Genomic DNA, 25,156 nt, shown 5'->3' on the forward strand with positions numbered 1-25,156 from the left:
TACAAGTTTTTTTATTGATACAAAATATTTTACATAGTTATGGGGTACATGTGATATTTTGTTGCATACCTAAAATGTGTAATGATCCATTCAGGGTATTTGGGGTATCCATCACCTTGAGTATGTATCATTTCTATTTTGGGAACATTTCAAGTTCTCTCTTCAAGCTACTTTGAAATATAAAATACATTGTTGATAACTACAGTCACCCTACTTTGCTATTGAACATTAGAGCTTATACCTTCTATCTAACTACGTATTTGTACCCATTGTTCAACCTCTCTTTAACCCTGCTCCCACCCACACACCCTTCACAGCCTTTGGTATTTGGTATTTATTGTTTTGCTCTCTAGCTCCATAAGGTCAATTTTTTAAACTCCCATGTCTGAGTGAGAACATGTAATATTTGTCTTTCTGTGCCTACCTTATTTCATTTAACAAAATGACTTTCAGTGCCATTCATGTTGCTGTAAATGACAAGATTTCATTCTTTTCATGGTTGAATAGCATTCCATTGTGTATATATACCACATTTTCTTTATCTGTTCATTCATTGATGGGTACTTAGGGTGATTCCATACCGTGGCTATTGTGAATAGTGCTGCAATAAACATGAAGGTTCAGGTATTCCTTTGATATACTGATTTATTTTCCTTTGAATAAATTCCCAGTAGTGGGATTACTCGATTGTATGGTAGTTCTACTTTTAGTTTTTTTAGACATCTCTGTACTGTTTTATATAGTGCCTGTATTAATTTATGTACCACTAACAGTGTATAAGAGTTCCCTTTTCTATGCATCCTGGCCAGTATCTTTTTTTTTTTTTTGTCTTTTTAATAATAGTCATTCTAACTTGGATAAGATGATATTTCATTGTGGTTTTGATTTGCATTTCCCTGATGATTAGTGAAATTTAGCATTTTTTCATAAACCTGTTGGACATTTGTATGTCTTCTTTTGAAAACTGTCTATCCATGTCCTTTGCCCACTTTTTAATGGGATTATTTGTTACTTTTACTGTTGAGTTGTTTGAGTTCCTTGTGTATTCTGGATATCCGTCCTTTGGTGGATGAATAGTTTGCAAATATTTTCTCCAACTCAACATGTTGTCTCTTCATTCTGCTGATTGTTTCATTTGCAGAAACTTTTCAGTTTAATATAGTCGTATTTATCAATTTTTTTGTTGTTGCTTTTGAGATTTTAGCCATAATATCTTTGCCAAGGCCAACATCCTGAAGTGTTTTCCCTATGTTTTCTGTTAGTAATTTTATAGTTTCAGGTCTTATGTTTAAGTCTTTAATCCATAATAAGTTTATTTTTATATATGGTGAGAGTTAGGGGTCTAGGTTTATGCAGATATCCAATTTTTCCAGCACCTTTTATTGAAGAGGTTGACTTTTTACCCCCAATGTATATTCTTGGTGCCTTTGTCAAAAATCAGCTGCCTATAAATATATGGGTTTATTTCTGGATTCTCTATTCTGGATTCTCTATTCTCTATCCATTGGTCAATGTGTCTGTTTTTATACCAATACCATGCTTTTTTGGTTTCTATAGCCTTGTAATATATTTTTAAGTCAGGTGGTGTGATGCTTCCAGCTTTGCCCTCCTTTTAATTTTTTTCTTTTTGAGACAGAGTCTTGTTCTGTCACCCAGGCTGGAGTGTAGTGGTGCCATCTCAGCTCACTGCAACCTCTGGCCTCTGGGTTTAAGCAATTCTGCCTCACCCTCCGGAGTAGCTGGGATTACGGGCACATGCCACGATGCCTGGCTAATTTTTGTGTTTTTAGTAGAGACAGGGTTTTACCATGTTAGTCAGGCTGGTCTGAAACTGCTGATCTCATGATCTGCCTGCCTCAGACTCCAAAAGTGCTGGGATTACAAGCGTGAGCCACCACACCTGGCCCTGCCCTCTTTACTTAAGATTACTTAAATAAAGCTATTTCGGTTCTATTTTGGTTTTATACAATATTTAGGATAGTTTTTTTCTATTTTTGTGAAAAATGTCATTGGTATTTTGATAGAGATTGCACTGAATTTGTAGATTGCTTAATGCAGTATGGTGATTTCAATGATATTAATTCTTGTAATCCATGCACGTAGAAAGTATTTCCATTTGTTTGTTCCCTTTTAAATTTCATTCATCAGTGTCTTGTAGTTTTCTTTGCTGAAATCTTTCATCTTCTTGGTTAAATTTATTCCTAGGTACGTTTTTTTGTTTTGTGTTTTTTTGTTGTTTTTTTTTTTGTTTTGTTTTCGGTAGCACTTGTAAATGGGATTGTTCTCTGGATTCCTTTTTCAGCTAGTTTGTTACTAGTATATACAAACACTACTGATATTCTTACATTGATTTTGTATCCTGCAACTATACTGAATTTATTTATTTATTTAATTTTTTGAGACACTGTTTTTACTCTTGTTGCCCAGGCTGGAGTGCAATGGCGTGATCTCAGCTCACTCCAACCCCCACCTTCTGGGTTCAAGCGATTCTCCTGCCTCAGCCTCCTGAGTAGTTGGGATTACAGGAGCCCTCCACCATGCCTGGCTAATTTTTTGTATTTTTAGTAGAAATGGGGTTCACCGTGTTAGCCAGGCTGGTCTTGAACTCCTGACCTTGTGATGTGCCCGCCTCGGGCAGATCCCAAAGTGCTGGGATTACAGGCATGAACCATCATGCCCGGCCTATACTGAATTTATTTATGAGATCGAAGTATTTTGGTTTAGTTTTTAGGTTTTTCTGGATATAATATGGTATCAGCAAAGAGGGACAATCTGACTTTCTCTTTTCCAATTTGGATGCCTTTTATTTCTTTCTCTTGTCTGATTGGTCTGGCTAAGACATCCAGTACAATGTTAAATAAGAGTGATAAAAGTGGACACCCTTGCCTTGTTATATGTCTTACAGGAAAGGCTTTCATCTTTTCCCGATTCAGTATAATATTGGCTGTGGGTTTGTCATATATGGCATTTATTACATTGAGATATATTCCTTCTATGCCTAGTCTGTTGAGGCTTTTTATTATGAATAGATGTTGAATTCTATACAACATCTGATGCTTTTTCAGCATCAGTGGAGATGATCATATGGTTTTTGACCTTCATTCTGTTGATGTGATGTATTATATTTATTGAATTGCATATGTGGAACCACCCTTCTATTCTTGGGATATATTGGATTCAATTTGCTACTATTTTGTTGAGGATTTTCACATCTATGTTCATCAGGGATATTGGTCTGTGGGTTCCTTTTTTTTATCTGGTTTTGGTATCAGAGTAATGCTGGCTTCATAGAATGACTTAGGGAGAAGTCACATTTCTTCAATTTTTGGAATAGAAAAGAACTGGTGTTAGCTCTTCTTTGGATGTTTGATAGAATTTGGCAGTAAAGCCATTCATTCATGGACTTTCATTTTTGGGAGAGTTTTTATTATTGACTCTATTTCATTACTCATTATTGATCTGTTCAGGTTTTCTAATTATTCCTGATTCAATCTTGGTAGGTTGTATGTGTCCAGGAATTTATCCCTTCTCCCTAAATTTTCATGTTTGTTAATGTATACTTGTTCCTAATGATATTCAATAAAATTTTTTATTTTTGTGGGATCAATTTTAATGTCTCCCTTTTCATTTTAATTTTGTTTATTTGGATCTTTTCTCTTTTTTCTTGGTTAATCTATTAAGTAGTTTATCAATTTTATTTCTCTTTTAAAACATCAACTTTTCATTTTGCTGATCCCTTCTATTATTTTTTAGTCTCTTTCATTTAATTCTTCTTTTCTTTATTATTTATTTTCTTCTACTAATATTCGGTTTCATTTGTTCTTGCTTTTCTAGTTCCTTGAGGTGCATTGTTAGATTGTTTATTTGAAATATTTCTAGTTTTTTTATGTAGGTGTTTATTGCTATAGAGTTCCCTCTTAGCACTGCTTTTGCTGTATGCCATACATTTTAGTATGTTGTGTTTCCATTTTCATTTGTCTCATAAAATTTTTGCTTTTATTCTTAACTTCTTCCTTGGCCCAGTGGTTATCCAGGAGTATGTTGTTTAATTTGTATGTATTTGTACAGTTTCCCTAGTTCCTCTTGTTATTGATTTCTAGTTTTATTTTATTGTGGTCTGAGAAGAAACAATATGATTTCAATTTTTTTAATTTGTTGAGACTTGCTTTGTGTCCTAACATATGCTCTCTTCTGGAGAATGTTTCATGTGCTGATGAGAAGAATGTTTGTTCTGTAACTGTCAGATGAAATGTTCTGTAAATATCTGTTAGGTCCATTTGGTCCTATGTGCAGTTTAAATACAGTGTTCCTCTGTTAATATTCTAGATCAACAGTCTAATGCTTAGAGTATTGAATTTCCCACCAATTATTGTATTGGAATCTGTCTCTCCCATTAAATCTAATAATATTTGCTTTATACATCTGGGTGCTCTAGTGTTAGGTGCATATATGTTTAGAATTATTATGTTCTTTTGCAGAATTAATTTCTTTATCATTATATAATGACCTTCTTTGTCTGTTTTTACTGTTTTTGATTTAAAGCCTTTCTTCTATTCTGACATAAGTATAGCTACTCCTGCTCACTTTTGATTTCCATTTTCATGGAATGTCTTTTTTCATCCCTTTTCTTTCAGTCTATGTGTCTTTATAGGTGAGATTAGTTTATTCTATGTTGAGCCTTTTTTCCCTTATCCACTCACAGTCTATATCTTTTAAGCGGTAAGTTTTTATTCAATGTTATTGTTGATATGTGAGGACTTATTCTTATCATTTTATTAATTGATTTCTGGTTGTTTTGCATATCCTTTGCTCCTTTCTTTCTCTCTTACTCCTTATCATTGCAGTTTGGTGGTTTTCTGTAGTGGTAACATTTGAGTCTTTTCCTTATTTAAGTATTTGCTGAATCAGTGGTTTTTATTTTTTTGTGTGTTTTCATGAGAGTAGATATCATTTTTTGGTTCCCAGCATAGGACTCCCTTAAGCATTTCTTGTAAGACTGGTCTAGTGGTGATGAATTCTTTCAGTTTTTGCTTGTGTGGAAAATACTTTTTTTCTTCTTTATTTATGAAACATAACTTTGCTAGATATAATATCCTTGGCTGACTTTCTTTTTCCTTCAGCTCTTTGAATATATTATCCCGTTCTCTCCTGGCCTATGAGGTTTCTGCTGAGAAAATCTCTGTTAGTCTGATTGGTGTTCCTTTATAAATGACTAGATACTTTTCTCTTGTTGGTTTTAGAATTCTTTGTCTTTGACTTTTCACAGTTGGACTATAATACACCATGGAGAAGATCTTTTTTAAATTAAATCTATTTGGAGATCCGAAGTTCCTGTATCTGGATGTCTGAACCTGTTGCTGGACTTGGGAAGTTTTCATTTGTTATTTTGTTAAATAGATTTTCTAACCCTTTGTCTCCTCTTCACCTTCTGGGAGGGACATTGAAAATTCAAAAACGTGGTCACTTTATGGTGTCCCATATGTCATATAGGCTTGCCCATTCTTTTCACTTTATTTTTGTCTCACTGGGTTATTTCAAAAGACCTTCAAGTTCAAAGATTCTTCCTTCAGCTGCATCTAGTCTATTGCTGAATATTTCAAATATATTTTGTATTTCATTCAATAAATTCTTCAGTTCTAGTTCCAGAATTTCCATTTGGTTCTTTTTAATGGTTACTTTCTCATTCATATCCATAATTGTGTTTCTGATTTTTTTGGTATCTCTTTTCAGTATTCTCTTCTATCTCACTGGAGCTTCTTTAATATCAATATTTTGAGTCATTTTACCAGGATTTCAAAAATTTTTTTTGATTGGGATCTGTTGCTGAAGAATTAATGTGTTCCTTTGGAGGTGTCATATTTGCTTTTTTTCATGTTTCATATGTCCTTATGTTAATATCTATGCCTCTGGTGGTAACAGTTGCTTCTTCTATTTCTTATTTATTTATTTATTTATTTATTTTGAGATGGAGTCTCACTCTGTTGCCCAGGCTGGAGTGCTAGGACTATAGGCACCCGCCACCATGCCCAGCTAATTTTTTTGTATTTTCAGTAGAGACAGGGTTTCACTGTGTTAGCCAGGATGGTCTTGATCTCCTGACCTCGTGACCCGCCCGCCCGGGCCTCCCAAAGTGCTGGGATTATAGGCGTGAGCCACCACGCCCGGCCTGAATTTGCTTTTATAGGGGAGAATTTTTTCCTAAAGGTGTACCTATGGTATTGGATGGGTAGGGCACTTTGGCTTTGATATTCTGGGTGTGTGCAGTATTGCAATCTCTGCATGATTTCTTTGGCTATAAATAGTGTCAGTGGTGTCTGTGATTTCCTTGGTGGCTCAGGATGGTGTTGTTAACGGAGGCTATGGCGAAGTTTTGGGATGCCACGATGTCTAGTCTTCAGGCACCAGTGACGGCATCAGTGAGCTGAGTATGCCTGTCCTTCTGTCCCAGGTTGGCATACACTGACACTGGTTTTAGCAGATCTAGGCAGGTCAATTTTTGGGCCTCCAGATAGCCTGTGTGAGTTCCAGAAATGGCAGCAGTGGGGTGGGCAGGTGGGTAGATTCTTGAGCCCTCAGTAGTAGGCATGGTGTGAGTGATGGCAGTTGCAGTAGTGGAACAATGCTCTGGGACCCAAGCTGTCAGTGCTGTTGTTGTCAGTGGCTGCAATAGGCTGGGCGGGTCAATTCCCAGGCCTGCAGGTGACACATGTGGGTGGGTGCAAGCTGTGGTTGTAGTGGTAGTTTGGGTGGGCCTGACCTCAGACCCTGGAAAAATGTTCAGTTGCCAACAGTGTTGGACTGGGCTGAGCAATTCTCAGAGGCCTAAATGGCATGCCCTTGTACTGTGTGTAGGGGAGTGGCAGAGGTGGGCTGAGTGGGCCCATCCTTAGGCCCCCTGGTGAGGTGTGCATGCACTGGCTGTGGTAGGCAGAGGTGGGGTGATTCCCTGGCCTTCAGAAGAATGCTCTGGTGGGAGCAGCAATGGGTGTGCTGCAGCCTTGCTACTGAGGAGAGGTGCATTGTTTTCAGTGGGAGCAGCTATAGGCAGGCAGCTGGCAGGGCATGCTTTGCTCATATTTCGGCCCCTCTGTAGCCTATAGTGGCAGCTGCTGCAGGCAGTGGAGTTTGTCCTCAGGGCACATGAAAATGCATGGCTGCCCTTCGGCTGGGAGTCAGGATAACAACCAGTGGCTCCCACCTAAGCCCTGGTGGCAGCAGTTGCAGGAAGGGAATATCACTGTGGCTCCAGGGTTATGAAGATGCAGGGGTTTGGGGCCCTAGGTTAGAACATAGCTTGATGAGAGCTGGGCTCTCAAAAAGGCACCGTGCTGCAGCTGCTCAGGACTCAGGGATTTGTGGGACTCAGCCTGGGCTCTCTCTTTGAATTGTCATTTGCAGCCTCCAGGAAGCTCCCTATGTTAATCTCAGGGCCTGCAAGGGTAGAGGGACTCTCCAGTGGCAAGGATTGTGGGAGTCCGTGAAAGGAATCTGGACCACTGAGGGCTCTCTCTTACCCTTTCCCCATTTTAGGGAGCTCACCAGGATCCCAGCCAATCCCAGCTAAGCAGGCTACCTGGCTGACCTCTCCTTCCATGCTTTCAGTGCTTCCCAGCACTTCTCTGTAGAATGCCAGTGTTCTCTCTTAAATAATCTATTTGAGTTATGATTATCTATTTGCTATTTTGTTTCTCCTCCATAGAAGAGACAAGTACCAGATGCATCTAGTCAGCCATCTTGAAGCCCCTCTACCAACACAAGGTTTTCCCATCTTTTCTCAAATACAAATACATTCTAGTAGCTTTACTCACCTATACATTCTAGTAGCTTTTTAATAGATTCCTTTAGGTTTTCTACATAAGTGGTTGTGCTTTTCTAAGCAAAGAAAATTTTATTTCTTTCTCTTCATTCTGGGAGCCTTTTGTATGTTTTCCTTGCATTATTATACTGACTAAAACTACCAGTGCAATGTTGAGTAGAAGTGGTGAGGAAAGACAATCGTTGTTTTGTTCCTGACCTTTGGAGGAGAGCAGTTAATCTTTTACCATTAATATGATAACAGCTGGGTTTTCATAGATGTCCTTTATCTAGTTAAGGGTGTTTCCTCATATTCATAGTTTACTGAGGGTTAATATCAGGAAAAGATACTGGATTTTTAATGAAATTTTTGTTTTTTTTTTTGAGACAGGTTTTTGCTCTTTCACCCAGGCTGGAGTACAGTGGCACAGCTCACTGCACCCGCAACTTTATGGACTCAAGCAATCCTCCTGCCTCAGCCTCTTGAGAAGCTGGGACTGAAAGCATGTACCACCATGGCCAGCTAATTTTTTCTACTTTTTGTGGAGGCAGAATTTCACTAAGTTGCCTAGGGTGGTCTTGAACTCCTGGGATCAAGCAATCGTCCTGCCTCAGCTTCCCAAAGTGCTGGGATTAAAGGCATGAGCCACTGTTCCCGGCCCATACTGGATTTTTTTCAAATTCTTTTTATGTGTCATAAACAATGACTTTAATTTTTAATTTCTTAATATGGTGTATTACATTGATTTATTTTTAAATTAAGCCAATCTTGCATTCCTGGGATATACCTCACTTGGTCATGGATATATTATTCTTTTTGCGTGTGTTAGATTCATTTTGCTAATATTTTGCTAAGCATTTATGTGTCTACTTTCATGAATAATATTGGTTTTTAATTTATTTATAATGTCTCTTTATGATCTTCACATCAGAGTAATACTGACCACCGAGGATGACTTAGAAATTCTTCCCTATTTTTAAGTTTTATGGAAGAGTTTTATAGAAGGAATACAATGTTTTCCTTTAAATATTAGTAGACTTCACCAGTGAAGTCTTCTATGCCTGCAGTTTTCTTTTGGGATGGTTTTAAACTACAAATTCTTTTTTAGAAATAGAGCTATTTAGGTTATTTGTTTCTTTTTGAATTTTTGTAGTGTATATCTTTCAAGGAATTTGGCCATTTCATCTAAGTTGTCCAATGTATTGGCATAAAGTTGTTCATAACATTTAATATTTTTCTTTAATATTTGTATAATCAGTAGTGATGTCACCACCCTTATTCCTGAGATTGGTCATTTGTACCCTCTCTCTTTTTTCCTAATCAGGCTGGCTAGAAGTCTATCAATTTAATTGATCTCAAAGAACCAGGTTTTTGGAATTTTTTTCCTGTTTTCTATTTCACTGGTTTCAACTTAGATTTTTGTCATTTTCTTTCTTCTGCTTCCTTTGGGTTTACTTGGCTCTTGTTTTTCTGTTCTCTAAAGGTTTCCCCAGAGGGAATTTATTTTAGAGTTTTCTTCTTTTCGGAGATGAGTTCAATGCTAAATATTTCTTCTAAGTTTTACTTTAGTAGCATCTCATACATTTTTGATACCTATAGATTTTTGTGTTGTTTCAAAACACTTTCAAACACTTTACACTTCCCTATAATCTATACATTATTTGAACTATGTTATGCAATTTCTAAGTATCTGAGGATATTCCAGATATTTTTCTAATATAATTGCATTGTGGTCAGACACCATAATTTATATGTCTTGAATCCTTTTACATTTATTTAGACTTGTCTTATGACTCAAAATAGGATCTATCTTGGAAATTGTTCCATGAGCACGTGAAAAGAATATGCATTCTGTTGTTGGTGGAATGTTCTGTAAACGTCAAAAGTAACATCTAGTATTATTTGCATTGTTTTACTCTTCTATATCTTCACTAATTTTTTATCTATTTGTTCAATTAATTATTGTGAGAGGGATATTGAAACATCTGACTATAATTGTGGATTTGTCTTTTTCTCCTTGCAGTTCTACTAGTTTTTTTCTCTGTATTTTTAAGTTTTCAGTTATCAAAGGGATAAATGTTTAAGATTGTTATGTTTCCTGAAAGATATGATTCCTTTCTCATTTATAAAATGACCTTTTTTATCTCTGATCATATTTTTTGCTTTGACATTTATTTTCTTTGATATTAAGATATCTATTCAGACTTCCTTTGATGTGTGTTAGAATGGCTCATTTTGTTCTATTCTTTTACTTTTAATTCATTTGTGACTTTATATTTAAAGGTTTCCCTTTCTTAATTTTTTAATTTTTATTTTTTATTTTTTTTGAGATGGAGTTTCACTGTTGTCGTCCAGGCTGGAGTGCAATGGCGTAATCTTGGCTTACTGCAACCTCTGCCTCTTGGGTTCAAGTGATTCTCCTGCCTCAGCCTCCCAAGTAGCTGGGATTACAGGCATGCACCACCATGCCCAGCTAATGTTTGTATTATTAGTAGAGACAGGGTTTCGCCATGTTGGCCAGGCTGCTCTTGAACTCCTGACCTCAGGTGATCCATCCACCTCAACATCCCAAAGTGCTGGGATTACAGGTGTGAGCCATTGCGCCTGGCCAGGTTCTCTTTTAGGTAGTTGATATCTTTTGGATATTCGTTCCCTTCAAATCTCATGTTGAAATGTGATTCCCCAATCTTTGAGGTGGGGCCTAGTGGGAGATGTTTGGGTCATAGGGACAGATCCCACATGAATGGCTTGTTGCTGTTTTCTCCATAATGAGTGAATTCACAAGATCTGATTGTTAAAAAGAGCCTGGCACCTCCTTTGCTCTCTGTTGCTCCCTCTCTCACCATGTGCCACATCTGCTTCCCCTTTGTTTTGTGCCATGAATAAAAGCTTCCTGAGGCCTCACCAGAAGCTGAACAGATGCTGGCGCCATACTTGTACAGCCTGCAGAATCATGAGCCAAATAAAACTTTTTTCTTCATAAATTACCCAGTCTCAGGTATTCCTTTATAGCAATGCAAAATGAATGAATACAGCAGTATATACTTAGGTCTGGCCTTTTCATCCAGTCTGCAAAACTTTGCCTTTTAATTGTGTTGACACGATTTAAATTTAGTGTAATTATTGATATGGATGGGTTTACATCTATCATTCTGCTCATTGTTTTCTTTGCTGCTCATGTTCTTTGTTCTGAGTTTCCTCTTTTTTTGCCTTCTTTTGGATTATTTTTATTATTCCATTTTTATTAAACCATTTTGATGGTTTAGAAAACTGAAGACCTCTCTAATAAGGTGATACTTGAACAGAGACCTGCAAGAAGTGAAGCAGCAAGCCCTTTGGTTTTCTCAAGGGAAAGCTTTATAGATAGAAGGAAGAGCAAGTGCAAGGTCCTGAAGCAGAAGTATATTTGACATTATGGAATAATAACAGGTGACTGGTGTGCCCGGAATGGAGTAGAGAGGTAGGAATAAACATAGGGAGGAGACAGTAGAGAGGGATTGGGAGTTTGTGGGTGGGTTAGAAGCTCATTTCTGGGCACGTAGAAGTCTTTGGAAGAATAGAGTTTTCTGAACTTCCATTGCTTCAAGCAAAGGTGCCTGCCGCCATCCCCCTACTCCGACAAAGTAAAATGAAGCTTTTTTCGAATCACCACCACGATCTGCCTAATATAACCTCTGGACTAATCTGTTTATGCCTATTTGCCCATTTTATAATGGTCTGCACAAAAGTCCAGTACCCAGGTCGTCACTCATTCATCATTCTCTTTCCTTCCCCAAAATATGAGCTTTCCAATGTGCCCTTTGAAATTCATGATTCATTATCACAAAAATCCCCTTTATCCTCATACTCTTTTTCTGAATGTTCCGGGTACAGAGTGGAAGCCGGCACTTCCCTGTGGATGCTAATTCTTTACTTCTCTCTCAAATGTTTTCTTTCCAATGAGCTTTATAACATTGTCCTGGAAGATAGATAGCACACTGGCCTTTCACTGTTACTTCCAAATCATTGTCTCTCCCACCTGTCCCAAATCCACACCTTTTGGTGACTGTGTTATCAGACTAGAAATGTATATTCATATGTTTAGGTTTGATAGACGAGATCCAGCAAACCTTCTAGTCTTCTTCCTATTTGCCAACGTCTGCCTTTAAATATTGACAGTTCTGTGGCAGAAAGTTTTCCCTGTTTTTGTTCCCAATCTCAAGCCTGTGGTTTTAAGGGCTCTTTTGCAGAGTATATCATTAGAATCATACCCAAAATAGGCTGGGGGTGGTGGCTCACGCCTGTAATCCTAGCACTTTGGGAGGCCGAGGTGGATGGATCACTTGAGGTCAGGAGTTCAAGACCAGCCTGGCCAATATGGTGAAATCCCATCTCTACTAAAAATACAAAAGTTAGCCAGGCATGGTGGCAGGCACCTGTAATCCCAGCTACTCGGGAGGCTGAGGCAGGAGAATTTCTTGAACCCAGGGGACAGAGGTTGTAGTGAGCCGAGATCATACCACTGCACTCCAGCCTGGGCAACAGAGTGAGACGCTGTCTCAAAATAATAATAATAATAATAATAATATCTAAATATAGAGTGGGTTAGAAGATAACAATAATAGCAGCAACAACGAACACTGGGCAAATTACTGATCCTCCTTGTGGCTCAGTTTCTTTATCTTTACTTGATGCCTAGATATCTTCCTCATTTACTCAAAGACGTTACTCTAATAATTATCTTCTGCCTCTCTTGAATGGTCAGATTTTTGCTACCTACTGATTGCTTTTCATCAACGTGGTTATTTTTTTTTAAAACATCTTTACAAAACATTCTCTTGGCCTTACTTCCCTAGCTTGCTACTGTCTGTTTCTTAGCTCTTCTTTATAGCAAAACCCCACCAATTATGCTTTTTCTCCCACTTCTGCACTAGAACTGCCCTTACTTCCACCACACTATTTTTCTTCATGTCACTAAATCCAAAGTCAATTCTTAGTTCTTATCTTACTTGTCCTGTGATCTCATAGGACCCCATGCTCCCTTGGTTTTCCTCCCATCTGGCTGAAACTCCTTTCTAGTTTCCTTCACTGGAACTCCTCCCCAGTCTCTTAATATTGGATAGTCAAGGGCTCCATTCTGATTTCTATTTTTGTCTCATTCTACACTCACCTCCTTATGATTTTAGGCAGTCTCATGGCTCTAACAGCCATCTATATACTACTCATTCCCAAAGTTTTATTTCAGTAAAAATAAGAGAATTTTTAGCTTAGTTCTCTTTCTGAAACTTCTAGGTCCTTTATACAACAGCTTACTCAACATCTTACTTGGATATCTAATACAACGCTACTTTAAGTGTGGTTACTACTTTTAGTGTACTACTTTTAGTATAACCACACTTCAAGTAAATGCTACTTTAAGTGTGCTACTTAAGTGATAATAAACACTACTTTAAGTGTGGCCACTTAAGTGTGGTTCATGAATTGATGCCCATCCACAAACTGTGAATAGTCTGCAATTAAATAAGCACAAAAATGAGACTAAGAGGTTGGAAACTTTTTTTTTTTTTTCTGAGATGGACTCTTGCCTTGTCACCCAGGCTGGAGTGCAGTGCTGCAATCCCAGCTCACTGCAACCTCCATCTCCCAGGCTCAAGTGATTCTCCTGCCTCAGCCTCCCGAGTACTTGGGATTACAGGAGCGTGCCATCACGCCTGGCTAATTTTTGTGTTTTTAGTAGAGACAAGGTTTCACCATGTGGCTAGGCTGGTCTCGAACTCCTGACCTCAGGTGATCCGCACACTTTGGCATCCCAAGTGCTGGGATTATAGGTGTGAGCCACAGTGCCCGCCCGAGCTATATATATATAAAGGGGAGTTTACCCATCACAGAACTAATGGAATATACATATATATATTCCATATATATAATATATATTTATAAATACATATATTATAAAACATATATATATTCCATTAGTTCTGTCCCTCTAGAGAGTCCTGACTAAATCACCCCATAAATTGGAAATTGAACTAGTTCTTACCTGAGATAGTTTGACAAGGACTGGTCGAGTAGACATCACAAATTCAATATAGTCACTAAAGAAGGTAATATTATTTAAATAATGTTTTATTTACTTTGTATTGCCTAAATATTAAAATAACATAAACTTTAAAAAGCTGTCATGGGGACAACCTTGAATGTATCTACTCTATTTATTTACACATTCATACATACATACAGGTAGTACATGAAAGAAAACTCACTGTAAACAGTTAAACAATATGAAAGACCATAGGGGTAAAAGGTTTTGTCCATTCACCACTGCTACCTTCTCCTCACTGATTCTAATGATCTGTCTAGAGGTTATGTTTCTTCGTAGTTTAATATGTATTTTTATATAGAAATATAAGTGGATATACACATGATTTTAGTTTTTCCATTATTTAAATGAATGAGATTGTACTCATAATGTATTATTCTGTAATCTGATTATTTTCCCCACTAAATCATATACTTGGAGATCATTTCTGGTCAGTTCACATGAATTTGCCCCCAAAATAGTAATAGCTTCCAACATAATTTTAAAAATTATTCCCTTGTTGTTGAATATTCCATGTTTTTGCTATTATAACACTACTACCATGAATATGCACTTACTTCTTTGCATGTACCTTTGCCAATTGAGCAAAATGTGTATAGGATATATTTTTAGAAGAAAAGTGCTGGGTCTAGGGTATTTACATTTAAAATGCTGATATTCTTGAGGTGCCCTCCAGAAACTCTGTACCCATTCATAATTTAATCAGCAATGCATGAGTATGATCATTTCACACTCTCACTGTCCTTGAATTTTATCAAACCTCTCTTAATTTTTGCTAATCTCATGAGTAAAAATACATTTTTTGTTTTATTCATTTATTTATGTATTTATGTATTTATTTTGAGATGGAGTCTCGTTCTGTCGTCCCAGCTGGAGTGCAGTGGTGCGATCTCAGCTCACTGCAACCTCTGCCTCCCAGATTCAAGCGATTCTCCTGCCTCAGCCTCCCCAGTAGCTGGGACTACAGGCGCGCACCACCACGCCTGGCTAATTTTTGTATTTTTAGCAGAGACGGGGTTTCACCATATTGGCCAGGCTGGTCGCGAACCCCTGACCTCGTGATCCACCCACTTCGGCCTCCCGAAGTGCTGAGATTACAGGTGTGAGCCACTACACCCAGCTTTCTGTTGTTTTAATAAGCATTTTAGTGTTTTTATCAATTGGCTGTTGATATTCTTTCCATATTTTTCATTACTTGTTTTCTCAATTTATTTGTAGAATAATATATACATATATGATCAGATATTATATATTTTCAATCATTTGATATATGTTGCAAATATCTTTTCTCATTCTGCTATTTGTTTTTGTTAATGGTGTTCCAATTTATTCTTAAAAATTAAGTCACACCCTAACTTTAAGTTTTATGAGCAAGAAATGCCTCAGATATCTCTATATTGTTCTGGACATATCAAGAAGTCATGACCATTTGTCTTATAAAATACTGAGAACTTTTCCTTCTCTTGAAGAGATGTTCTCCTAATTTTTAAGTACAGTATAATAAAATGAACACGGTTTCATTTATTTCAGGAAAAATAAGAAGCCTTTCACAAATATATATATTTTTAAATTTATAAGGCCTTATTCTAACTCCAACTTGCCTCTTGGATTCAAAGGCTGTTAGCAACTATTCTTTCATATTCTTCCAAGGTTTGGACCTAAGGAAAATTAAATGGCCCTTTTACCACTTAAATCTTCGCTGCAAATTTTAAAGCAAAGTTTCAGATCCTGATAGAACCAGATATTATGTGTTAGGGCAAAGGCAGTTAACATTGTTTAAAGCAAGCTTGTCCAACCTGCAGCCCCATGGGTCGCATGCAGCCCAGGAAAGCTTTGAATGTGGCCCAACACAAATTCATAAACTTTCTTTCTTTCTTTCTTTCTTTTTTTCAGCTCATCAGTTATCGTTAGTGTTAGTGTATTTTATGTGTGGCCAAAGACAATTCATCTTCCAATGTGGCCCAGGAAAGCCAAAAGATTGGACACCCTGGTTTAGATTCCTAGTTGCTGCTGCTTTAATCTGAACTGTTACTCATCTTCCCTGTCTAAAGTGAAGATAATGAGGTACAATGCAGTGGTAAGGATGGTGAACAGTGGCCTTGAATTCAAGCTGCTTGCCTTGAAATTCCTGCCATCCCACTTGCTACCTATGTAATTTTGAGCAAGTTTTTTTGATCATTTTCATTCCCAAATTTCCTTTTTTAAAAATAATTATAACATTAGTTGTGACGAAGAAAGATGACAAAATATCTAAACCACCGGGTATATGATAAACACAAATTAGCTATTATTAAGCTTATCATCAACTGGGAGAAATAATACTTATCTTACATCCATATGTACTATTAACATCTTTCAAGTCGAATCTAGATAGAGCATATCACAACATTAGTATGCTTGCCAGAGGCTATTTTTTATTTTTTTGGTAAAAATTATGACAATGACAATAAAAACTTAACATCAGATACATTATCAGTTTGAATTATTATGATACAACTATGACAAAACAATTCATGTTAAGAATTTAGTACCACAAACTAATGACCTCTGAAACATAACGCACTATCTTTGTTAGTCTTTGTTAGCAGGGCATCAAGTATTATAGTATTCCGATTTAAAAAATATTTTAATAGCCACTAAGGTTTTGGGTTTGAATAGATACCGTTTAAAGCAAAAACAAATAAATAAACAAGCGCATAAAATTGTGTGTTTTCTGCGTGTGTCTAACATTAGTTGAGTGCTTACTATATTCCAGAAATAGGTTGCTGGGCATTACACAGTCTAGGGGTTTTTGTCCTTTGGTTTCCTTCCTGCTTAACAAACAAAAGCAAAAAACAAAACAAAAAAACTGCTTGGGAGATTGGGGATTAAATTGAAGAGGGTAAAGTAAGCAGTTTTCTGGGGTAAACGCTGTAAGGTTTTAAAATCTCCAAATGTTCCCTGCATTTGCACTGTCTACATTTAGGCATCAACTTTTACTACCTCTAGGATTAGTTTTTCCTTTCCCAATCCATGTTGACAAAGTGGGTCATAAAGATCCGTAGATCGTTTGCCCAGATCTGCCCTCAATCTGCGAATCAGCTTCCTCGTTTTAGAAAATCTGAAATGTAAAAGGGAAAGGGGCTGGGATCGCGTGGGGAGGAGGAACGAAATGGAATCCCGCGTGGGCAGGCGGCTGGCCAGGAGCACATTCCCCTAGCCTCCCTACGCGCCAGCCCCGCGGCGTTGGGAAGCTCCTCCCTGACCTTTCCTTCCTCCTCCTCCTCCTCATTCTAGGCGGCAGTGGCGGGCGAAGCGTGAGCGCTGCGGTATTTTGTCCCGAACGGTGACCCCTCCTCCCAGGCAGGCTGCGGCGGCGTCGGTGGCAGCGGAGCACGGAGAAGAGGCCCGGGCGGCCCGGCGGCCTGGAGGCCGCGAAAGGTGGAGGCCGGGCCGCCCTTGTGCACCGCAGGATTGACCCGGGAAGGGGCAGAAGCTAGCGAGCCCCGCCCGGCCGCCGGGAAGGTGGGGGAAGCCCCGTGCACCCCCCGCCCTCCGGCCGCCGCCGCCCCGCTGGCCCTGCAGCCGTCGCCGCTGCCTCGGGCTACAGCCCCGGGCTCGGCGGTCCCGGCTGGGGAAGGAGGGCGGCGAGCGCGTCCGGAGCCGCCGGAGATGGCGGGAGGGCACTGCGGCAGCTTCCCCGCGGCGGCGGCCGGCAGCGGCGAGATCGTCCAACTGAACGTAGGGGGGACCAGGTGAGTCGGCGGGTAGCGGGCTTGCAGCGGGGATGCCTTGGCGGCCTCCTCCTTTGGTGTCGACGGGGACCGAGAGTCGCAGGAACGAGGGCGAGCGTGGGAGGCCAAGCCTGGAGGGGAACGTGGGGGCCTCCAGGCGGCAAGAACGTCGGGCGGATTTTGGAGCTGGTGAAGCATCTGCTCTGGGAAGGGAGAGGCAGAAGGGACGCTTGGAATTACCGAGGACCAGGCCCATGTGGCAGAGTAGCTGCTGTCCTAGAATGCCAACCTTTGCCCCTCCCAACAGGCAAGGAGAACCATTACACAGCCTTCCTTACCTCATCTCAGATTAGAGTGTATTTGAGGACTTTATTTAGTAGAAACCTGGCTTTGTGGTTTGGATGTTGGAGATGAACTTGCTTTCCTTTCTCTTTGGTCAACGAGGTGTCGGTTTTCTTAGGGAAGAGTGCGGTGTTCTTTTCCGCGCCTAATTAGGGGATTTGTAATTTGAAAGATTTCTGTGATGGGAGTGCAGTAGGTTTGCAGTACCTAGTTATTTATTTTCAGAATTTCTTGGTGCATGGGCTTGAAGGATCTGTTCAACTTCTAGGACAGTGTGTCCAGAAACTGCAGTTTGAACATTTGCTTTTAGGAAGCTCTGGATATTGGCACGGTGTGACGCCCTTGGAGTAAACAGACTGAATGCTCTTCTCTGTCTGTTCTCTTTCTGGCCTTCCGCCCCCCCCCCCCCCCGCCCCTTCTGTGCCTGTTATTAAGTTTGTTGGGGGAAAAAATCGTAGTTTTTGTGGATTTCCTATAACTTATGAGTCACTCCTCTCAGAAAAGGGAGTTTGCCAGCTGTTTGAAAGAAGGATTAGTTGAGTTTTAGGCTTGGTAAGGAGATAAACAAGGAAATGCTCTGGAATACAGTTAATTTTTCTGTGCTTGAGAATATGATTTTCAACCAGCATTTTAAAAGTATTTTAATGTCTTAGAACCATAGTGATAAAAAATGTCTACTGTAGTGCTTTAATCCTAAACATTTGATAGCTTTCTAGAATTTAACACAGAAAACCATGGTACTTCGTTCTTAGGGTTTTTCCTCTTCCCCCAAATCAAAACTTAGATAATTTACAACGTTATTGCAGTTGTATAGAAACCAGTCTTATGGAGATTTATGTCTCCTAATGTAAGAAATGGAGTTTTTCCTAAAATCACGTTAAAATATTGGAAGTTTGGTAACTTGTGGAATACCCCTAAAGAGGAGGCCTGCAATGTGTGTTGATTATACTGAAGAGTAGCAGTATAATCATTTACAATCCCTACACTGGTTTCTACTTGCTATTGATAGTTAATGTATTTCTTTTCTTTAATTTTCTTTTTTTTTTTTTTTGAGACGGAGTCTTGCTCTGTCGCCTGGCTGGAGTGCAGTGGCGCGATCTCGGCTCACTGCAGCCTCTGCCTCCCAGTTTCAAGCGATTCTCCTGCCTCAGCATCCCGAGTAGCTGGGTCACAGGCGCGCGCCACCACGCCCGGGTAATTTTTGCATTTTTAGTAGAGACGAGGTTTAACTACGTTGACCAGGATGGTCTTGATCTCCTGACCTCGTGATGCTCCCGCCTCGGCTTCCCAAAGTGCTGGAATTACAGGCGTGAGCCACCGCGCCTGGCCGATAGTTAATATATTTCTATTCAGACATTCACAAGGACATACAGTATTATTGTAAAAATTAAGCAGTATTGTTATTTACTATGTGGATGGCTTAATACTGAGTGAACTCTTATTAGAGACTGCAGAATTCATTTAAAAGTTTTAACTCATAAGGCAGTTATCTTGGCACTGTAACTTTTTTTTTTTTTTTTTTTTGAGACAGAGTCTCGCTCTGTCATCCAGGCTGGAGTGCAGTGGTGCGATCTCGGCTCACTGCAAGCTCCGCCTCCCAGGTTCGCGCCATTCTCCTGTCTCAGCCTGGCACTGTGACATTTTATCTTGTGTTTACATTATTTATGAAACTTGAGCTTATCAGGTTCTAATTTTTTCTAAGTGATATTAGCAAAGATACAAAATAGTACATATATTACTGGTTTGAACAGTTTACAAGACATGAAATTGTTAGTGGGAATGGAAACATTAAAAAACTTCAGAAAATTGTTAAGATAAAATGGCTTATAAAATAAGTAGTAATGGTATGGCCCGTAGAAAACAACATCCGACTCCATATTCTAAGAATATTTTCTAGATTTGCTTTGAATCCTACACTCGTGCAGCATTTTAGAGCTAGATGAGATCTAGAAGTCACCTGTATCTTGTACAAAACACAGTGTAACATAGTCACTTAAGCCACTGTAAGAGAAAAATCCTGATATGATTGCCACTGAAGTTCAGGAACTGCTGTGGCATAGAATTGAAGTTCTGAAGTGATAGAGTAAAACTCAAAAGGAGAGTTTGTTGGGAGCAGAGAAGCATATGCTATCGGTAAGGTCTTTTTTTTTTTTTCCCTCAGGAGAATAGACATGAAAATGGATATACTCAAAGGAATTATAGAAATGACTAATTTTTATGGTTTAATACTTTGTGGGTGATTCAGAAAGTAGAGTAGATGAAGTTTCATTTAGAATTGTTAGTATTCGTTATTTACAAAAAGTAATGAAGTGAATTCACTATGACTGAATTTATGATTAATTCTGTTATGGGCAAGTGTGATTTTGGGCCTCATGCAAGAGGGCTGGGACTAGCCATTGAGGACTCCTGGACAAAGAGCTTTTGAGTCAGGTATATGTTTCCAATTCCCAGGCTTTATCTCTAACTAGCCTAGCAACCTTGGACAAATATTTTGATACTTAGTCTATTAAAATGTAAAGTGACAGACAGTAGTACCAATCTTATCAGATTGTTATAGGAATTTGAAGTAATAAATGTGAAATGCAAGGGTTAGTGGCATTATCAGTACTTACAGTGCAGAATAAATAACTAGTTAGATTGCTACCAAGTTAATTTAGTAGGAGGCAAGTTGCATGAAGTATAACTGTGGGTATGCAAATTTCTTTAGTCCTTTGCTGAAACCAGATTGTACATGACTCTGTTCTTGGGACACTATGGGTATGGGATAAAAAACAAATCAAAACAGAAAAGGCTTTCAAATGATTATGCTCATCATGTGTAATTTTAAGTGTGTTAGTTTTCATGAAGTTATATTCGAGACTGGTTTTGGGGCCAGAAGTTTAAAAAAAAATTGGTGGGGATGAGGGTCTAATTCCTTTGCCCAGAAATTCCAGGTTACTAACCTTTCCCCAAAATGCTGATTAAAATTGAAACTGATAATATGATTTTAAGCAGACCTTTGTGATTTTCTAAGTAGCACATAATTTTAATTATTTGGAATACAATTGGTGAATAAGTGGTGAATATAAAAGATTGCAAGTTATAAGCTGTCCTCATTTGGAATGAATTTGATGGCCTCCAAAACAGTGAATCTGCAATGTATGAATCCTTGGATCCTTCAATTTACCATTGAGTGGATTTGCTTTGATTTTGGACCAAGTCAGTTTTCTGTGACTGGGGTAATCTGTGTATTTTTTATTTTTCTTAAGAGTCTATTAAGAAACGCATTTAGGAGCATTTGCAGTGTTTTCTTAAAGTGACTCATTTGTTAATCAGATAAATGGGCGTAGGAACTGCTTATAAACACCTAGACTGTCCATAACCTGTGAAATTAGTTAGTAGTCAACTTCTATGTGTTCCCTAAAGTACCCCTTACTGTAGTTTACATTTAAATGTCTTTAATAAATGAATTGTTTTACTGTCTTTCCTTCAGTTAGCCAATGAAAGAATACTTTTCCTTACAAATTGTAAAGTTGTATGTGGGAAGAAGTGGAGATAAACTTTTTTTTTTTTTTTTTCCGAGACGGAGTCTCGCTTTGTCGCCCATGCTGGAGTGCAGTGGCGCGATCTCAGCTCACTGCCAGCTCCACCTCCTGAGTTCACGCCATTGTCCTGCCTCAGCCTCCTGAGTAAGCTGGGACTACAGGTGCCCGCCACCACGCCTGGCTAATTTTTCGTAGTTTTAGTAGAGACGGGGTTTCACCGTGTTAGCCAGGATGGTCTCCATCTGCTGACCTCGTGATCTGCCCGCCTCGGCCTCCCAAAGTGCTGGGATTACAGGCGTGAGCCACCGCGCCTAGCCGAGATAAACTTTTAATTGTGATTGGAAAGCATGTTTTGATAATGATAGAAAATTTATTTTGGAGACTAAGGCACTTTTTATGGAACAGTGCATACACGGCTTCTGCTGTTACTGACACTGAGACTGATACTGCTAAATGATTTAAGTGGGCAGTTTAGTGACATCTGTGTGTCAACACCAGTGTATTCTGAAAGTGCTCTGTTGTAACCATAAAATGCCTGCAGATCGTACAGAAGAATCAAGTCTCCGTTTTGTACAGAACATTTAACTGAGTTTTAGAGTGTGATTCTGTTTATCACACATAAGTTTCAATAAACATTTACTGGGTGTGTGCTAGGTGCTAAGAACAATGCTTTTAGGTGGTCCTCTCTGGCTTTAAGAAAAAACAACATCTACTTTTTTAATACAAAATCCATTTCTGAAACTGAGTTTGAAAAGTGAATTTACAGATAATCCATTTATCAAGATATGTAAAATATTATGAGCCATTGTTGCCTCAGGTGCCTGGATGGACTTGCAAAGTTGAGAGATCTGTGAGACTTCTGACACTACTCTGTATAAGCCTTGGTAGTCACAGTCACCCTGGCCTGCAATCCAGTGCTATTTAATAGCCCACTTAGAAGATGGGAATGGGAAGTAGGATGTATTTTGAGGTTTGTTATGCTGCAGTGAGCATAATAAAAAAAAGTAAGCAACTTCCACGTTTTTGATAATTCCAGGCTGCTAATTTAGGTAATGGCAGACAATAGATGGATGATACAGTGTATACATGCACAGCCTGGGAAACATCCCTTAGCCATTTTGGCTGGGGTTTGGCCTGTGTTTCCTGGTGATAGTGCATGGTAACTAGTGCCACTATTCAGTCACCTTGTTTAGTTTAAGTATGAAAGGTAAAAATAAATTTAGGGATTTCATATAATGCCAGAAAATAAATGTGGAGTGAAAGTAGAGGTTTGCTAGGCTGGGTGAGATAACATTGTAGTTCAAGGTGATATCTTAAAATGAAAATACTCAGAGAAGGGCTGGACTGAACAAGTACTATATTGCTTTGTTTGCCATATCAGTTTACATAAATTATTGGTTTGTTGTCCCAGTCTATTATACTGTACTTTGGTAAAGATCCTCCCTTGGTAATATACAAGCTTGATCAAATGACAACCTCAGAACAGTGATGTATTTGGCTGAATGATTTTTGAATGAATGAAGTCAGCAGTTGCAGATAGCCCAAGACTGCCTATAAAGAAGGTGTTAAATGAGTAATTTACAGTGAAATTACTATGAGCTTAAAAAGAGATAATACAGGATTGGATATTTAGAAAAACTATTACAGGGAAGGTAAAACCTGAGTGGTATCAAGAAAGATGGACGGATCTTGAATTATTGGACATGAAGAGAGTGATCTAGCTGAATAAAGATACCAAAATGGTAGTAAGCATGAATTTTTTGGGGATATGAAGAAGTTTTGTCCTATTAGAGGGGAAAACCAGCATTTGTACTGGAGAGATGAGATGGAACCTGAAGGTAATTTTGAATGTTATACTGAGAAGTTGAGACTTGGTGTGATGGGCTAATTGTTGATTCTTCAGCAGAGATTAGCTTATTGGAAAGTAGTGTTTTAAGATGCATTATATGGCGGATAACAAGTTGTTTATTGTTATTGAGAGCTGCTTGTATAATCTTAACTCTGAATTGAAAGTAGCAACGTTTAAAAATATTAACTGTAATAAATATATTGGTACAGCTATAACTATAAAACATCTTGTAAATCATTAGCCAGTGTATTAAAACAAGTTAACTAATACTGAAATTTCAAATCATGTTCTCACTTATAATACCAGATGATTTTTAATTGCAGATTTAGTACCTCAAGACAAACTCTTATGTGGATTCCAGATTCTTTTTTTTCCAGGTATGTCTTATAATTCTTTAGTGTATATTTTAATACATTTATTTACCAAAATATAATAATGTTTGTCAGTTAAATTTTTTTTAATAAAAAAGGTTAACTCTTAAAATTATATATTTTTGAACTTGGAAGATAGATAACTTACTTTTAGTGGTCTTTAACATTTGGTAAAGAATTAGCACATTTGTTTATACTCAGATTTTAAAAACTAACTTTAGATTATTAATGACTTCCAGTTTGCTGAGTGGGAGAATTTCAACACTTCGAGATGAAACTGGTGCTGTGAGTATAATAATAATTGATACATATTCCTAAATTAATGCTTATAGTGCTTGGTCCTAACATATAGTTACTCTAAGAATATAGGAGAACTGATATTTTAATAATCACTGAATGAAAGTGGCATAATTTTATTTCTTGTCATATGTAGTTTTTTATAATCAGAGAAGATCCCTAAGTAGGGAATACTATATATGGCAATTTAAGTATTCATGATTAGAGAGATTGTAGGATATGAGCTTACATTGGCATTAGAAGAAATTTTTTTAGATCAATAATTGAAACTTTAACAGTAAGTGGATAAATGTAAATATTCTAATATTTTTATATTAGAATATAAGAGGTTAAATTAGTAAACTCCTACAGTTTTTTATTTTATTTTGGAGAATAACCTTGCGAATTTGTTTATACAGCATTGGTACAGTGAGGGAAGGAAAGAATTGTAAAGTTTCAGTGCAAAAAAATTGGTTTATCCATTTGGAGGCAACAAAGTGACCAATGGTATTTATTTGCTGTGGTGAGATTTGCAGATGAAATAAGGCAACAAATGCAGATATGTCCATGTGAAATTATAAAAAGTTATCAATAATAAGATCTCCACAAATCTGTGATGTCTCTTCGATTTTTGATGTGCTCTAATGAAAACAAAAGAAAATTTATAAAGCTTAGAAGAATCTCATTGATTGTATATATATAGTTGATCATAGTAGGAAGAGTTTTATTACTGGCTGCCATTTCCCTTTCTAATTGATTTACATAAGCTTTAAAAGATGTTCCGTTTTTATGGCCAGATCTTTTGTAAATGATTCAAAATAGGTGTTGGTATAAATTTCCATAAAAAGTTATCAATTATGGGCTGGGTGGGGTGGCTTATGCCTGTAATTCCAGCACTTTAGGAGGTCGAGGCAAGTGGATTACCTGAGGTCAGAAGTTCAAGACCAGCATGGCCAACATGGTGAAACCCCCTCTCTACTAAAAACAGAAAAATTAACCCGGCATAGTGGCAGGTGCCTCTAATCCCAGCTACTCAGGAGGCTGAGGCAGGAGAATTGCTTGAACTTAGGAGGTGGAGGTTGCAGTGAGCCCAGATCGTGCCACTGCACTCCAGCCTAGATGAGAGAGCAGGATGCTGTCTCAAAACAAACAAACAAACAAAAGTTACCAATTATGTATTTTACATTTTTAAGCAATTTGTTTTCCT

General features: G+C 38.2%; 1 protein-coding gene and 1 long non-coding RNA gene across 5 annotated transcripts in view, besides 3 other annotated features; one reads left to right on the forward strand and one right to left on the reverse strand.

Annotated features, from left to right (window-relative positions):
- Positions 16,267-17,197, reverse strand: LOC124904599 (uncharacterized). The gene is made up of 2 exons (XR_922599.2): positions 17,120-17,197; positions 16,267-16,974 (listed from the first exon to the last, which is right to left on the reverse strand). It is a non-coding gene; the product is annotated as an uncharacterized LOC124904599 (long non-coding RNA).
- The window catches only part of KCTD3 (potassium channel tetramerization domain containing 3), a 54,504-nt gene continuing 46,491 nt past the window's right edge, over positions 17,144-25,156 (forward strand). For 3 of the 4 annotated variants that reach the window (NM_001319295.2, NM_016121.5, NM_001319294.2), the window contains exons 1-3: positions 17,144-17,608; positions 23,626-23,679; positions 23,913-23,958. Coding sequence is in view for 2 of the 4 variants with exons in the window: in NM_016121.5 (NP_057205.2) it covers positions 17,526-17,608; positions 23,626-23,679; positions 23,913-23,958 (183 nt within the window). In the remaining 2 variants the exon portion in view is untranslated. Of the gene's footprint in view, positions 17,609-23,625; positions 23,680-23,906; positions 23,959-25,156 lie in introns of those variants that run through there. The other variant, XM_047422104.1, reaches the window with a different exon arrangement.
- Positions 17,276-17,545: a silencer, noted in NCBI's record as "silent region_1816". NCBI's record gives its function as "represses an Ori minimal core promoter by ATAC-STARR-seq in GM12878 lymphoblastoid cells {active_cell/tissue: GM12878}" and the evidence as "EXISTENCE:reporter gene assay evidence [ECO:0000049][PMID:35858748]".
- Positions 17,276-18,218: a biological region, named in NCBI's record as "H3K27ac hESC enhancer GRCh37_chr1:215740861-215741721".
- Positions 17,358-18,218: an enhancer, noted in NCBI's record as "H3K27ac hESC enhancer chr1:215740861-215741721 (GRCh37/hg19 assembly coordinates)". NCBI's record gives its function as "activates a minimal SCP1, AML or CMV promoter by ChIP-STARR-seq in primed H9 embryonic stem cells {active_cell/tissue: H9 hESC(primed)}" and the evidence as "EXISTENCE:reporter gene assay evidence [ECO:0000049][PMID:30033119]".

Source organism: Homo sapiens, chromosome 1, assembly GCF_000001405.40.
Source record: "Homo sapiens chromosome 1, GRCh38.p14 Primary Assembly".
Classification (NCBI taxonomy): domain Eukaryota; kingdom Metazoa; phylum Chordata; class Mammalia; order Primates; family Hominidae; genus Homo; species Homo sapiens.